General features: G+C 46.4%; 1 annotated feature.

The window, feature by feature from the left end:
* Window positions 14,437-14,496: an enhancer, noted in NCBI's record as "active region_16302". NCBI's record gives its function as "activates an Ori minimal core promoter by ATAC-STARR-seq in GM12878 lymphoblastoid cells {active_cell/tissue: GM12878}" and the evidence as "EXISTENCE:reporter gene assay evidence [ECO:0000049][PMID:35858748]".

The raw sequence follows: 14,832 nt of genomic DNA, 5'->3' as shown, positions 1-14,832 counted from the left end.
GGCACCTAGATTAAAACATGGATCCTCTGACACCAAATACTTGAAAAATCTTCAGGATTCACATTACCATATTCTGTCGACAGGTTTATGGTGTAGAATAACTTTTTTCCATCTGTAGAAGTTGATTATTGTAGGCCAGGCATGGTGGCTCACGCCTGTAATCCCAGCACCTTAGAAGGCCTAGGTGGGTGGATCACCTGAGGTCAGGAATTCAAGACCAGCCTGGCCAACGTGGTGAAACCCCATCTCTACTAAAAATACAAAAATTAGCTGGGTGTGGTGGTACGTGCCTGTAATTCCAGCTACTCAGGAGGCTGAGGCAGGAGAATCGCTTGAATCCAGGAGGTGGGGGTTGCAGTGAGCTGAGATCGCACCACTGCATGCTAGCCTGGGTGACAAGAGCGAAACTCCGTCTCAAAAAAAAAGTTGATTATTGCAGTAAAAATAGCCCATCAAATAGAGGTGGAGTGTGGGAATTAATCTTGCTTCTCCAGATGCTGGCTTAGGCTTGTGGATGTTTAGAGCAGGGAGAGGCCTTGGAAATCATCAAGCCGGACCTCGCATTTCCTACAGATGAGTAAACAGGCATCAACAGGTAATGTGTTTTGCCCAACGTCAGATCAAGTTTGGCCACTACGTGCAGAGTTTTCAGGAATTGGAAGGAAAGGTAAATAAACCTCGTGGACTGGGTAAGTTTGACCAGCCCGTGGGCCCACTCCTTCCCGCTGGAGCATTTGATCTGTGGCAGACACACAGTGGCTGTGCTCTATGTGAAGTGATTCTGCCAAGTCCCTCCCAGGGGAGCATCACCCTTCCAGGAAAGTAAATAAGCCGTGCTTCTGCGTCGCTCTTGCGTTTGTCCTCTTTGAGCTTGAAGATGGCTGACCGAGGTGCCACTGGCTACCGGGGGAAGCCAGGCTGGACAAAAGAAGTCGGAGCTCAGGCCATCTCTGCTCTGGAAGCAAAGCCCTGCTGTGTTTCTTGGCCAGAGGTGCCGCCATCTGCATGAAGCCGCAGTTCCTGCAAGCTTCTCAACCTTGGGGCTGTTGCCTACCTGTCTCATGCCTCTTACAGCCTTTTCTGCCTTACTAGCACTCCCAGCTTCTGCACACTGCGTGCTACTCACAGCAGGCCTTGCATGAACTTCCAGCTCGTATGTGGGACAGATCCAGCCCAGCCTTTAACCTGGGCCGTCCTGGGCTATGAGCACCTTCTCTGTGTTCCTCCAGGCTTGACTTCCCTGGGCCTCTGCTTCTGCCCATATGGAAAGAGACTCACCAAACCTATCTGGCAGGGTTAGAGAGAGTATGACTGAAATCATACTGGCATAATGCCTGACCCAGAGGTGTCCCAAATAATGGTAGCTATTAATATGATTTGCAACAGTGTCTCCTCTATCAGACGGCAGACTCCTAGAGGTGAAGGATCAGGCCATTCATTTTTGCATCTCCTATGCCTGGTACATATTAACTGCTTAATAAATCCTGGCTAAGTGTGTCTGTGAGCATCTGCTGCTCACAGTCATGGTGGTTCCCAAAATAATTGCTAGAATGATGTTTTCCCCAATCCAAGCTGCCAGCCTTGTGACTAGATCCTCTTGTTTACCAGGATGCAGCACGACTACAAGAGGAAGCGGTGACCTTCACACAAGCGTTCCTTAAACTGTCATGAGAACAAAGAAAAATAGGGGAAAGTGAACGTCTTTATGGAGGGACGTTCTAGAATGTTGAAATCAGGATTTGGGAGGAAATAGTTTGGAACTGCTATTTCAGAGAGGAGCCTTTTCTCAAGGGCGTGGTTCCATCGAGCCAGGCATGCTGTGGTTCGGCACACAAAGGTCACACTGGCTGTATGTCAGGGCCCTGTGAGCATGAGCTGCCTCCCGATGTGCAGATGGGGCGTGGTTTGCACACACATGTGACTTTTACTCAGTTTGGAGATCAGGTCTGCCGAGAGATTTCCAATGACCAGAAAAATCTATCCAAGAGCTTGTTTTGGCGGGGAGGGGTGGTAAGCCTGGACCAGCACGGCAAACCCTCAGCCATGAGCTCCCAAGGCCCAGCACTGGGCCATGCCACCAGGACCACCAAGTGCATGTAAGGGCTCACCTTTTGGTTAACACAAAGGGGTGGCGGTGTGGCAGAGAGCTGGTTTGGTCACTGGAATTAAAAACATGAGTGGTAGCTGGGCGCGGTGGCTCACGCCTGTAATCCCAGCACTTTGGGAGGCCAAGGTGGGTGAATTGCTTGAGGCCAGGAGTTTTACCAGACCAGCCCGGACAACATGGGAAAACCCTGTCTCTACAAAAAATTTTTAAAATGAGCTGGGCATCCTGGCACACCTGCGGTCCCAGCTACTGGAGTTGCTGAAGTGAGATGTCTTTGAGCTCAGGATGCAGAGGTTGCAGTGAGCAGAGATCACCCCCACTGCACTCTGACCTCTAAGGCAGAGTGAGGCCTGTATCAAAAAACAAACAAACAAAAAACAAACAAAAAACAAACCCAAAACAACAACAACAACAAAAAACCAAGAGTGGTAAGCTTCAGCACTTGCCCCAGCTACTACACGTTTCTCAGTTAATTGCTAAATTTGGCAAGTAATACTGACTTTCCCAAATCCCAACACTCCTTCACAATGCAGGTCAAGTGCCCTTTCACAAAGCCTTGGCCATCCTGCTTGTTGCGATCCCCAGGGCACGCTCTTTAAAACAGAGGACACTCCATTTGGTCCATCTCCTCCGGCATTTATCATCCGGTCTCCCTTGTGTTATTATTTATATGAACCTCTTGTGTATCCCATCAGACTGCAAACTTCCCATAATCAGAATAAGAAATCCTCTTGTTCCACCTTAGCACACAGTACAATACCTTGGCTGTGGGGTGAATTGTAAATATTTCTTGAATGAACAAAGGAAAAAGTGAAGTAAAGAGTATCTTGAGACTTCAAAGCTACAGAGAACTTTAAAAACAGTGGAAGTTCTCATATAGTAATTTTAAAATACAATTTACAAAGTGATTTGGAAGACTGAGATAATTATTCAGAAGAAAGGGAGAAGCGTTTTCCTTTTAAATATGCCTGGCTATTTTGTGAGTTCCTCAAAGAAATGGATCATATTTAAAAATTTCAAATTCCCATTGCCTAGTACATTTTTGGCAAAATTATTTAACTTTCACTGTTTTTAAAGATGGAAATATTTTTACTGCTCTTGCTAATTAAAAAGTGACATACGCTCAATGCAAACATTTAAACAATATGGAAACATAAAGTAGAAAGTATAAGGTCCACCTAGGTCCAACTTTCTAGAGGTTACTTACTGATATCTTTCCATGGTTTTATTGCGATAAGAATAACATATTGATACTATTTTATCCGTTCAGTCTGTAATCTGCTTTTAAAAACTGGTGAAATGGCTGGGCCCAGTGACTCACACCTGTAATCCCGGCACTTTGGGAGGCTGAGGCAGGGGGATCACCTGAGTCCAGGAGTTTGAGACCAGCCTGGTCAATATAGTGAGCTGGGACCTTGCCTTTACAAAAAAAAATTTTTAAAGAAAAGAAAAAAAACTAGTGAAATGTATGGCTTCATTTGCACATAGATACACATAAATCTCCTTTATTCTGTAGCGGCTGCACAGTCTATTTATTACCTCTCACTGTTAAAATTTCAGGCAGGATTCAATTCTTGCTATTTCAAATCACACTGAAGTAAAATCCTTGTACATACATCTTCAATATGTATTTTTCAGGTTACCCTTTTTTTTTTTTTTTTTTTTTGAGACAGAGTCTTGCTCTGTCACCCAGGCTGGAGTGCAGTGGTGCGATCTCAGCTCAGTGCAATCTCCGCCTCCCAGATTCAAGTGATTCTCCTGCCTCAGCCTCCCGAGTAGCTGGGATTACAGGTGCATGCCACCACACCTGGCTAATCTGTGTGTGTGTGTGTGTGTTTGTATGTGTGTGTGTGTGTCTGTATGTGTATTTTCAGTAGAGACGGGTTTTCACCATGTTGGCCAGGCTGGTTTCAAACTCCCGACCTCAAGTGATCCATTTGCCTCAGCCTCCCAAAGTGGTAGGATTACAGGCATGAGCCACGGCACCCGGCCCTCGGATTACTCTTAGACGTGGAATTTATGAGTCTAGGGACATGAACACTTGACATTGGTAGATAACGCCAAATTTTCCTCCAAAAAGTTGTATTTTCTGATTTGTACTCCCAACATGAACTGAGAAGGCCTACAGAGTTTACGTATCTTTTAAGTTAGTGGTCCACAACTTTTTGGCCCCAAGGATCGGTTACATGGAAGACAATTTTTCCATGAACTGGTGGGGAGGGGAGATGGTTTCAGGAGGATTCAAACACATAACATTTATTGTGCACTTCATTTCTATTATTATTACATTGCAATATATAATGAAATAATTATACAACTCACCATAATATAGAATCAGTGGGAGCCTTGAGCTTGTTTTTCTGCAACTAGATGGTCCCATCTGGAGGTGATGGGAGACAGAGACAGATCATCAGGCATCAGATTCTCACGAGGAGCAAGCAACCTAGATCCCTCGCATGCGCAGTTCACAATAGGGTTCACACTTCTGTGAGAATCTAATTCTGCTGCTGATCTGACAAGAGGCAGAGCTCAGGCAGTAAAGTCAGTGATGGGGAGCAGCTGTAAATACAGATGTAGCTTCGCTTGCTTGCCCGCTGCTCACCTCCAGCTATGCGACCCTGTTCCTAACAGGCCAGGGACCGATATAGGTCCAGGGCCTGGGGACTGCGGATCCCTGTTTTAAGTCTTTCCTGGCATATGTTGGAAGATTTGCAGCCAATGTGATTTTTACAATGATACTTTTGGTGCGTAAAATACTCTGTGCTTTTCCAGGTATTTTTACACAGAATGCATATTCTCCTTGGGTCTTCACAGCAGTCACGGAGTAAGTAGGGAAGGCTTTATTATTTCTGCTTTAGAAACTCGGCCATAAAGACTTGCCCTGGGTTTCACTGCAAGTCAGTGTCAATGCCTAAAGCGGCACCCTTGAACTGCTTCTCTGAATTTCCTTCTGCAAGCTGGAAGGACCAACCATGAGCGGTCCTCCCAGGAAGAGCCTCCCAAGGGTTTTGCAAGTCTTGCATTTATGCCACAGAACAAAGAATGACCTGATTAGGGGGTTCAATTCCTTTAGCTGAAATAAGCCCTCCTCTTTTCTGACTAAGCCAGGCTGGGGAAGGAGGAGGCAGGTGGCCCTGTGTGTTGCCCTGTGTGGGGCCTGTCATGAAGCTCTGAGTAGGTAGTAGGTGGTGAGCTCAAGCTCAGGGAGCAACATTGCCATGCGCTCTTCTGCTTCATTCTCCAAAGCACCCCATTTGGAGTTTGGGGAGAGGACTGACCCAGGAAACTCTCCTCTCCTTTTTATTGGTGTCCTCTGAAATGAAATGCTATGAATTTGTTTGCACATTAACCTACAGCTTCAGTTGCACACAGTTATTAATATTTTTTGAAGCGTAATTTACTGATCCTCGAAAAAGAAAGACAATAGCATGCCTAGTGCTATTGTCAAATAGAAATTCACATGGAATATTGGGAGGGGATGCTTTGATAATCTGAGGCTTCCTTCTAGAGAGTAACTTAGGAAGATTATTTCCTTCCTTCCTTCCTTCCTTCTCTCCCTCCCTCCCTCTTTCTCTCTCTCTTTTTCTGTTTCTCTCTGTTTCTCTCTTTCTCTTTCTTTCCTTTCTTTCTTTCTTTCTCTCTCTTTCTTTCTTTCCCTTCCGTCCTTCCTTGTCTTTCTTTCTTTCTTTCTTTCTTTCTTTCTTTCTTTCTTTCTTTCTTTCTTTCTTTTTCTTTCTTTCTTTTTCTTTCTCTCTCTTTCTTTCTTTCCCTCCCTTCCTTCCTTCTTTCTTTCTTTCTTTTTCTTTCTTTCCTGATTCACCATGTTGCCCAGGCTGATGTTGAACTCCTGAGCTCAAGCAATCCACCCACCTCAGCCTCCCAAACTGCTGGGATTACAGGCATCAGCCACCACACCCAGTCAGTTGCTTTTGTTTGAGGTCAGAATGGAAAGTTCCGTATCTTAACATGGGCCAGCAGACAGCTGAGGCAAGGTGGAACACTTTGAAAGACACAATCACTCACTGTATAAATATTGCATGGACTAGGACGACATTGTCCAATTCAGGAGCCTCTAGCTCTCTGTGGCTCTTGAGCACTTACAATGTGGATTGAATGTTTAATTTTATTTAATTTTAGTATTTAAATTTAAGTTTGAAAACTGACTCTCCATTCAGTTATGGAAAACTTTTACATAAGTTTCAAACAACTTGGGTGTCTGGGTATCTGGAAGTGCTTTTCAAAGTAAATTTTATGAAATATAAAACTTGATATGGTGTTTCTGATGAGAATTTAGCATCTGAATTTAGATATTCTTTACGTGTAAAATACACACTGTCTTTTGAAAGCTTATGAATATGAAAAAAAGAAGGCAAAATATCTCAATGATTTTTTATATTGATTATATTTTAAAGTGACAATATTTTTTATATACTGACTTAAACAAAATATAATATTAAAATTAATTTTACCTGTTTTATGCTTTTACATTTTTTAACGTGGCTTCTAGGAAATGGGGAATGCCTTGAGCATTCACTTATCCATTCATTCATTGAGTATTTATTGAGAAACTGATATGTTCCAGCTCTGAGTAAGCATAACAGCTACAAAACTCAGAAAAGCACCTTATAAATTTGCTGCACATTGTATGAAAATATGTGTGCAGGGCGGTGATCCCACTGAAGTGTAATACTCCTTAAGACAAATATCAAATTCACTGTTGTTTTTCCCCAGCGTCATGAGTTAAACACCTAGCTCATTAATTTACAGATTTTTTTGTTTTGTAACATATGTATTTAAGGCTCTAATCTTCCCATAAGTATTCTTTTAGCTGCATTCCAAAAGAGTTGATAAGCTGAGTTTTCTTTTCTTTTTTTTGAGATGGAGTTTCACTTTTGTTGCCCAGGCTGCAGTGCAATAGCGAGATCTCGGCTCACTGCAACCTCTGTCTCCCGGGTTCAAGCGATTTTCCTGCCTCAGCCTCCCATGTAGGAAGGGATTACAGGTGCCCACCACCACGCCCAGCTAATTTTTGTATTTTTAGTAGAGACGGGGTTTCACCATGTTGGTCAGGCTGGTCTCGAACTCCTGACCTCAGGTGATCCACCCACCTCGGCCTCCCAAAGTGCTGGGATTACAGGCATGAGCCACCGTGCCTGACCAAGTTGAGTTTTCTTTTTTCTTTTTTTTTTTTTTTTTGAGATGGAGTCTCACCCTGTCACCCAGGCTAGAGTGTAGTGGCACTATCTCGGCTCACTGTAACCTCCGCCTCCCGGGTGTAAGCAATTCTCCTGCCTCAGCCTCCCGAGTAGCTGGGACTGCAGGCACACACCACCATACCCGGCTAATTTTTATGTATTTTTAGTAGAGACGAAGTTTCACCGTGTTGCCCATGCTGGTTTCAAATTCCTGAGCTTAGGCAATCCGCCCGCCTCGGCCTCCCAAAGTGCTAGGATTACAGGCATGAGCCACTGCGCCCAGCCCCAAGTTGAGTTTTCATAAGAACTCATTTTAATATTGGATGGATCACATTTTCTTCTTCTTCTTCTTCTTCTTCTTTTTTGATGGAGTTTGATGGGTTTTTGGTTTGTTTGGTTTTTTTTAGACGGAGTCTTGCTCTGTCACCTAGGCTGGAGTGCAGTGGCATGATCTCAGCTCACTGCAACCTCCGCCTCCCGGGTTCAAGCTATTCTCCTGCCTCAGCCTCCCGAGTAGCTGGGATTACAGATATGTGCCACCATGCCCGGCTAATTTTTGTATTTTTAGTAGAGATGGGGTTTCACCACGTTGAGCAGGCTGGTCTTGAACACCTGACCTCAGGTGATCCACCCACCTTGGCCTCCTAAGATGTTGGGAGTACAGCTGTAAGCTACCGTGCCCGGCCCCTACATTTTCTTAAATCTCTTTTGTGGAAGAGACTACTAATTGCTCACACAAATTCTACTACATTAGAAGCGGTTGGAATGGACTTTTTCTCAAATCCAATTCAAACCCTATTTAATTATATTTTATTAATAACCCTTGCAATGAAGGAAATGGGTCTTATACTACCTAGAGTGACAGGCCCCATACAAATTGTAATGTGACAGACGGTTAGGACGAATCAAAAGACATGTTATTTTTCTCTGGGAACAGGAAGCTTGTGAAACAACAACAAAAATACTATTTTGTAGGTAGATTGTTAAAAAATAATCAGTGATGTTTATCTCTAATTTCTTGTGAGTAGCAGGGTATAGCCACAAGAACTTTTCCATAATACATTCCTAAGGACCAGCTCTCTGAGATAGGCAGACAAAATTCCGGGAGGAATGGAGGTTAAACCACCACCTGTCTGTCAATCAACCAACAAAGGATAGGAAGATGTTAAAAGTTGGAGGGATAACTAGTTATCAGGACCCTTACATATATTGTTGCATGTACTCTTTCCATTAGTCCTGTGAGGTGGAGATTTGTGTTGGCTTTCAAGTAGTTCAACCAATCTACCTATGGCCGTATAACTACCAAGAGGCTGAGCCAGGAATCTTGCCCAGGTCTCAGTCTTAAGCCCGATACACTTTGCTGCTTTCAGGAATGAGATTTCTGTCCTCAAACCTTAGTATCTGGAGGAGATAAAATGTAAACAGTTGGCTGGGCGTGGTGGCTCATGCCTATAATTCCAGCACTTTGGGAGGCCAAGGCGGGTGGATCACTTGAGGTCAGGAGTTTGAGACCAGCTTGGCCAACATGGTGAAACCCCATCTCTACTAAAATACAAAAATTAGCTGGGTGTGGTGGCGCACCTGTAATCCCAGCTGCTCCAGAGGTTGAGGCAGGAGAATCGCTTGAACTCGGGAGGTGGAGGTTGCAGTGAGCCAACATCTTGCCACTGCACTCCAGCCTGGGCAACAGAGCAAGACTCCATCTCAAAAAAAAAAAAAAAAGTATAAACAATGGAACAGTGAAATCATAATACAAGTGCTGTCACAAGAAGCTTTTGTGGGCTGCAGTGGGCTGAGAAGGATGGGCCAGAGGAAAAGGAAGGCAGAGCAGTCCGGGCCGGCGAGTGGCCTGAGCACGGACCCAGGAGAATGCCTGTTCTGATGATGTGATCAGGGACGCAGCATCCAGCGTCTGCTTCTTCCTGGCTCGTTCCATGTGCTCGTGCTTTTTTTCTCACCCTTCCATTTATCTGAAGCTGGCGAGTGTGGAGGGGCAGGAATGTGGTGTTCTTTTCAGCGAGACCTTTCCCATAGCAAGTTGGATTTCCAGCATGGGGTGGGAGAGAGCTGGAGCTGTTAAGGGGTTTCTGTCTAAGCAGAGATGTGACAGGGAATGTGGAGTCAGAGTGAAGTAGGCAGAGCATGGAGGCCCGGTCCCTCGAGCAGCATTTCTAGAATGCCAATCACGGGCCAGCCCGGGTGGACCAAGAAGAGGTCAGAAGCAGGCACTTTCGGGGTGAGGACAAGCTAGGCAGAGAAGGAGGCATTGGCTGGCAGGGTGGAAAGACCCCTGTGAGCCATTGTCCCCTGTTCCAACCTCACAGGCAGTGTGGCGCAAACACAAGACGGTGAGTCAGGATAACGCGGCCCAACTCCCTGTTTTCCTCCAGGTTGGTCACACCCTCAAATCACATCCCCACGTCAGCCTGGAATTCCCAACAAAGGGGAAGTGGTACACTCCTGACCAAGTTCCTGCTGGCAAAGGCGCTCACATGCCTGCAGACCGCAGGTGAAGGGCCTTTGGTGGCATATTGTTCCTCCCGGCAGCTGCCAGGGTGCGGATTGTGCAAGGTATAGAGGCAGGTGCCAGATCAGGAGGCCAACAGGCCACGTGCAGATTTGTCTCTTAGCTTACAACTCAGCACAGAGCTTGTGCACAGGTCCCTGAGAGATACACCTTAACGGTAAAAAAAAAAAAATTATTAAAATACACTTTTAAAAGGTAAGACAATTTCATTCAAAATCTGCCACCCAGATTCAACTGCTGAAACCATTTTGGTGAATATCTTTGGAAAAGTATGTCTACCGTTTTACAATACACATTTAATTTCTGTGGATAAAGTATAACACATGCATTTATTTAAATAGAAGAGTGGGATCCTGTTACACATACTGCTTTGTAATGTGTTTATAATATGTGATGGACATTTTCCATATCATGAAATATTATTTTGCAGTGCAGTACTTATTTATTTTTTGAGACAGGGAGTCTTGCTCCTTCACCCAGGCTGGAGTGCAGTGGCGCGATCTTGGCTCAGTGCAACCTCCGCCTCCCATGTTCAAGCGATTCTCCTGCCTCAGCCTCCTAAGTAGCTGGGATTACAGGTGCCCACCACCACGCCTGGCTAATTTTTGTATTTTTAGTAGAGGTGGGTTTTCACCATGTTGGCCAGGCTGGTCTTGAACTCCTGACCTCAGGTGATCCACCCACCTTGGCCTCCCGCAGTGCTGGGATTACAGGTGTGAACCACTGCGCCCAGCCCAACGCAGTAGTTAATGGTTGCACATTCTCTAACTTTTGTTGGTTAGGTGCTCCTCCCACTGAAACCTGCCGCAGTTTTCACTCTTCTCATGGTGGAGCTGCTTTTTAGGCAGAGAGGGAAACAAAGAGGAGGGATGAGCACTATTTCCATTTGGGCCCCACAGAAGTTCTGAAAGAAGTTGGTTCCCCCAGTGCCAGTGAGAAGAAAAGAAATATTAGGAGCTAAGAAATCTGGCCAAGCACAGTGGCTCACGCCTATAATCCCAGAACTTTGGGAGGATGAGGTGGGAGGATCGCTTGACACCAGGAGTTTGAGACCAGCCTGGGCAACACAGGGAGACCCAATCTCTACAAAATAATAGTAATAAATTAGCTGGGAGTGGTGCTGCACACCTGTAATCCCAGCTACTTGGGAGGCTGAGGCAGGAGGATCCCTTGAGCCCAGAAGTTTGAGGTTATGGTGAGCTGTGGTGGTGCCACTGCACTCCAGCCTGGGCAACAGAGAGCAAGACTGTCTCAAAACAACAACAACAGCAAAGAAGTCTGGCTCCCTCCTTTACCCCGAGCCTCGGAGAGGAGTTCAAGGCAGAGACAGAGCTTAGCACAAAACCAAACAAAAGGGTGAATGTTGAGGAGCTCGTCTGCCTCCCTCCAACCAGAAATTCCCTAGGGGCTGCTCTCAGTTGGAAGGAAGGAAGGCAAGCCAATTCTGAGTTGAATTTGACAATTCGTAGTCAAGTGTGATTGACAAATACACATTCCCTAAACAGTACCCAAGGTATGTTGCTTTTGAAAGGGGTTATTTTCACTCCAGGGAATCCATAGTTGGTTGAGTTTTTGGAAAGATAAAGTGATCTAGTTGCTCACTGCATCTTCCCAGGCTAACCCAAAGTTTGAAGGCCTGCTACTGCTCCATCACAGTAACAGTAAAGGCTGAATGTGGGGATAGAGAAAGCTCCTCCAGGAAAACAAAAATGAGAGGGATCTATTTTCTTTCTTTTTTTTTTTTTTTTTTGAGACAGTCTCGCTCTGTCGCCCAGGCTGGAGTGCAGTGGCGCCATCTTGGCTCACTGCAAGCTCCGCCTCCCGGGTTCACGCCATTCTCCTGCCTCAGCCTCCCGACTAGCTGGGACTACAGGCACCCACCACCACGCCCGGCTAATTTTTTTTGTATTTTTAGTAGAGACGGGGTTTCACCATGTTAGCCAGGATGGTCTCCATCTCCTGACCTTGTGATCCGCCCGCCTCGGCCTCCCAAAGCGCTGAGATTACAGGCGTGAGCCACCGCGCCCGGCCAAGAAGAATCTATTTTCTTCCAAAACTGTATTGCCAAGAGAAATGCACCAATGTCAGCCCCATAAGGCACAACACGGGCATGGGCCTCGAGCCAGACAGTGGGGTTTGAACTCGAATCCACCGCTTGCCAGTATAAGTGGCCTTGCGCAACTCACTCAGCCCCTTTGAGTCCCGAAAGGGTACTGATATAACCTTCCTGGTAGGGGTGTTAAAGATGTAAATGATAAAAGCACATGAACCCTTAGCAGGGTGCCCGGTGTGCAGCAGGGGCTCAGCATGGTCCCTGAGCGTGTAGGACTGACCAGAGAGAAGTGATCAGACCCTGGTCAAAGACCAGGAAATGCTTCTCAACAGAGGTAGGCCTTGATCTTTGGAGGGGTTCTGATGACACAGGTGGGGTGGGTAAGACTTCACAGAAATGGCACAGCCGCAGCAAAGAACAGAGGCTGAGTTGTACAGGGAAAGACTGGCCTGGAGCTTTGTGTTTGGTTGGGGACCGAGTAGGAGTCAAGCCCGGAAATGAGGGCCTCAGATGCTGGCCCAAAGAGACTGTGCCCAGTTTGCTAAATAAATGAGGAAATACCAGAGGCTCTGAGCACAGGCTCAAAGGGCTGGCGTCCTGGGGTAGGAGTACCCAGGCAGATGGGGTGGGAGGAAGATAAGACAGATGTGGGGGTCACAGGAGGCTGCGGTGGAAATCTGGGCAGGTGGTGGCCAGGGTATGGTGGATGGAAAGAAGCGTGTTGGGGAGGGATGGGCAGGGAGGGCTGGGCTGGCCTCACGGCTTTCGGCAGGAGAACCCTCGCTCGCTTGCGTAATGCTCTGCCGTCACTCTATTGAAACTCTGAATCGGCTCTGAACAAGAAGCCCCACAATTCTGACCTGGTTCTCTCAAATTCTGTGGCCAGCCTTGAGAGGGAGACCGACAAAATGTTTGGCTATGAAGTGGGGCAGAGGAGAGAAAGAACTGAAAAAGCTGTGGGAATTTAGGTGTCAGAGAGGAGCTAAGAAGTAAGATGGTGTTTGGGAGACAACACACTGCATGTGATGGGACAGCCATGTTGGGAGACCCACGATAATGCTTTGGGAATTCGATCTTACAGCTCAGTAAAGAACTTTGAGCAATTTATTTATTCAGAAATTATATCATCTTCTGGCTGGGCACGGTGGCTCACGCCTGTGATCCCAGCACTTTGGGAGACTGAGGTGGGTGGATCACTTGAGGTCAGGAGTTTGAGACCATCCTGGCCAACATGGTGAAACCCCATCTCTACTAAAAATACAAAAATTAGCTGGGCATGGTGCTGTGTGCCTGTAAGCCCAGCTACTCAGGAGGCTGAGGCAGGAGGATCGCTTGAACCTGGGAGGCAGAGGTTGCAGGGAGCCGAGATCGCACCACTGCACTCCAGCCCGGGCAACTCTGTTTCAAAAAAAAAAAGAAATTTCACTTTATCTTAATGAAATAAAATACATTGCTTCTGTAATTTAAATAATGAAATTAATAAAATTGTTTATTCAATAATAATACATGAAACTTCAGCAGTGGGAACAACAAATAAATGTTTGAAAGGATCAAGAACCAAATCTGGAAGACCATTGTTAAGGACAAAACTGTGTCTCTTCAGCCAGGCCTGGTGGCTCACACCAGTAACCCCAGCAGCTGGGGAGGCAGAGGTGGGAGGATCACTTGAAGCCAGGAGGTTGAGACCAGCCTGGGTAACACAGCAAGACCCCATCTCTACAAAAAATGAAAATAAATAAGTAAACAAACAAATAAATAAGTACATTTTGTCCCCCTACCTCCCAAAATTCATATGTTCAAGTCCTAACCCCTAGTACCTCAGAATGTGACTATATATTTGGAGATAAGGTCATTACAGAGGTAATTAAGTTAAAATGAGGTCATTAGGGAGGGCCCTAATCCAATATGACTCCTGTCCTTAGACGAGATCAGGACACAGGCACACACTGAGGGAGGACCGTGGACACAATGGGAGAAGCCCATATCTACAAGCGGAGAGAGGCCTCAGAAGGAAGGGGCCGGGTGCAGTGGCTCACACCTGTAATCCCAGCACTTTGGGAGGCCGAGGTGGGAGGATTACTTAAGGTCAGGAGTTCGAGACCAGCCTGGCCAACATGGTGAAACCCCCTCTCTACCAAAAATACAAAAATTAACCAAGCGTGGTGGCACATGCCTGTAATCCTAGCTACTCAGGAGGCCGAGGCAGGAGAATCGCTTGAACCCAGGAGGCAGAGGCTGCAGTGAGCCGAGATGATGTCATTGCACTCCAGCCTGGGCAACAGAGCAAGACTCCATCTCAAAAAAAAAGAAGGGACCAGCTCCGCCAACACCTTGATCTCAGAATTCCAGCCTCCAGAGCTTCGAGAAAGTGGATTCCTGTTGTTTAAACCCCCAGTCATGTTACCTTGTATTAGCAGCCCTGAAAGACTGACACAACCGTCTTCCTTAAGAAGAACAAGAATAGGTGGAAGAGTCCTCAGAGACAGCACAGAAGCATCAGAGAGGTGGTGGGAGAAGCAGGTGGTAGAGTCACAGAAGCAAAGTGCATACCCCCGGTGACGGGTGGCTGCCAGTGTAAATCGCTAGGTGAGAGGTCAGTGAGGACTCGGGGCTGACAGAAAGCTGCTGGGTTTTGAAATCAGGAAGTTGCTGGTGACCTTTCGGAGGATGATGTCATTGGTGCAGTGGGGTACAGGGAGCCAGGTGTGTTAGGTCAGAGAGAGACACACACAATGGTCTGGGGTGGTGATTCCTTTCTTTCAAGAAGTTGCCGGGATGAGATAGGATAGTAGCTTGAGGGGAAGGCAGAATCAAGGGAAAGATTTTGTTAGAGTAGGATATCCCTGAGTCATTCTAGCTGGAGAAACTCCCTAAGAAAGAGAGCCCAGCCCCGGCCTGTGCTGCCCAATGTACCTTTGTTAAATGAGCCAGGAGCACCGTGTGAAGTGGC

The sequence above is a fragment of the Homo sapiens genome, chromosome 2 (assembly GCF_000001405.40).
Source record: "Homo sapiens chromosome 2, GRCh38.p14 Primary Assembly".
In the NCBI taxonomy this organism is placed as follows: domain Eukaryota; kingdom Metazoa; phylum Chordata; class Mammalia; order Primates; family Hominidae; genus Homo; species Homo sapiens.
The sequence above is the reverse complement of the archived record's forward strand: the minus strand, read 5'-3'. Positions and strand labels throughout refer to the sequence as shown.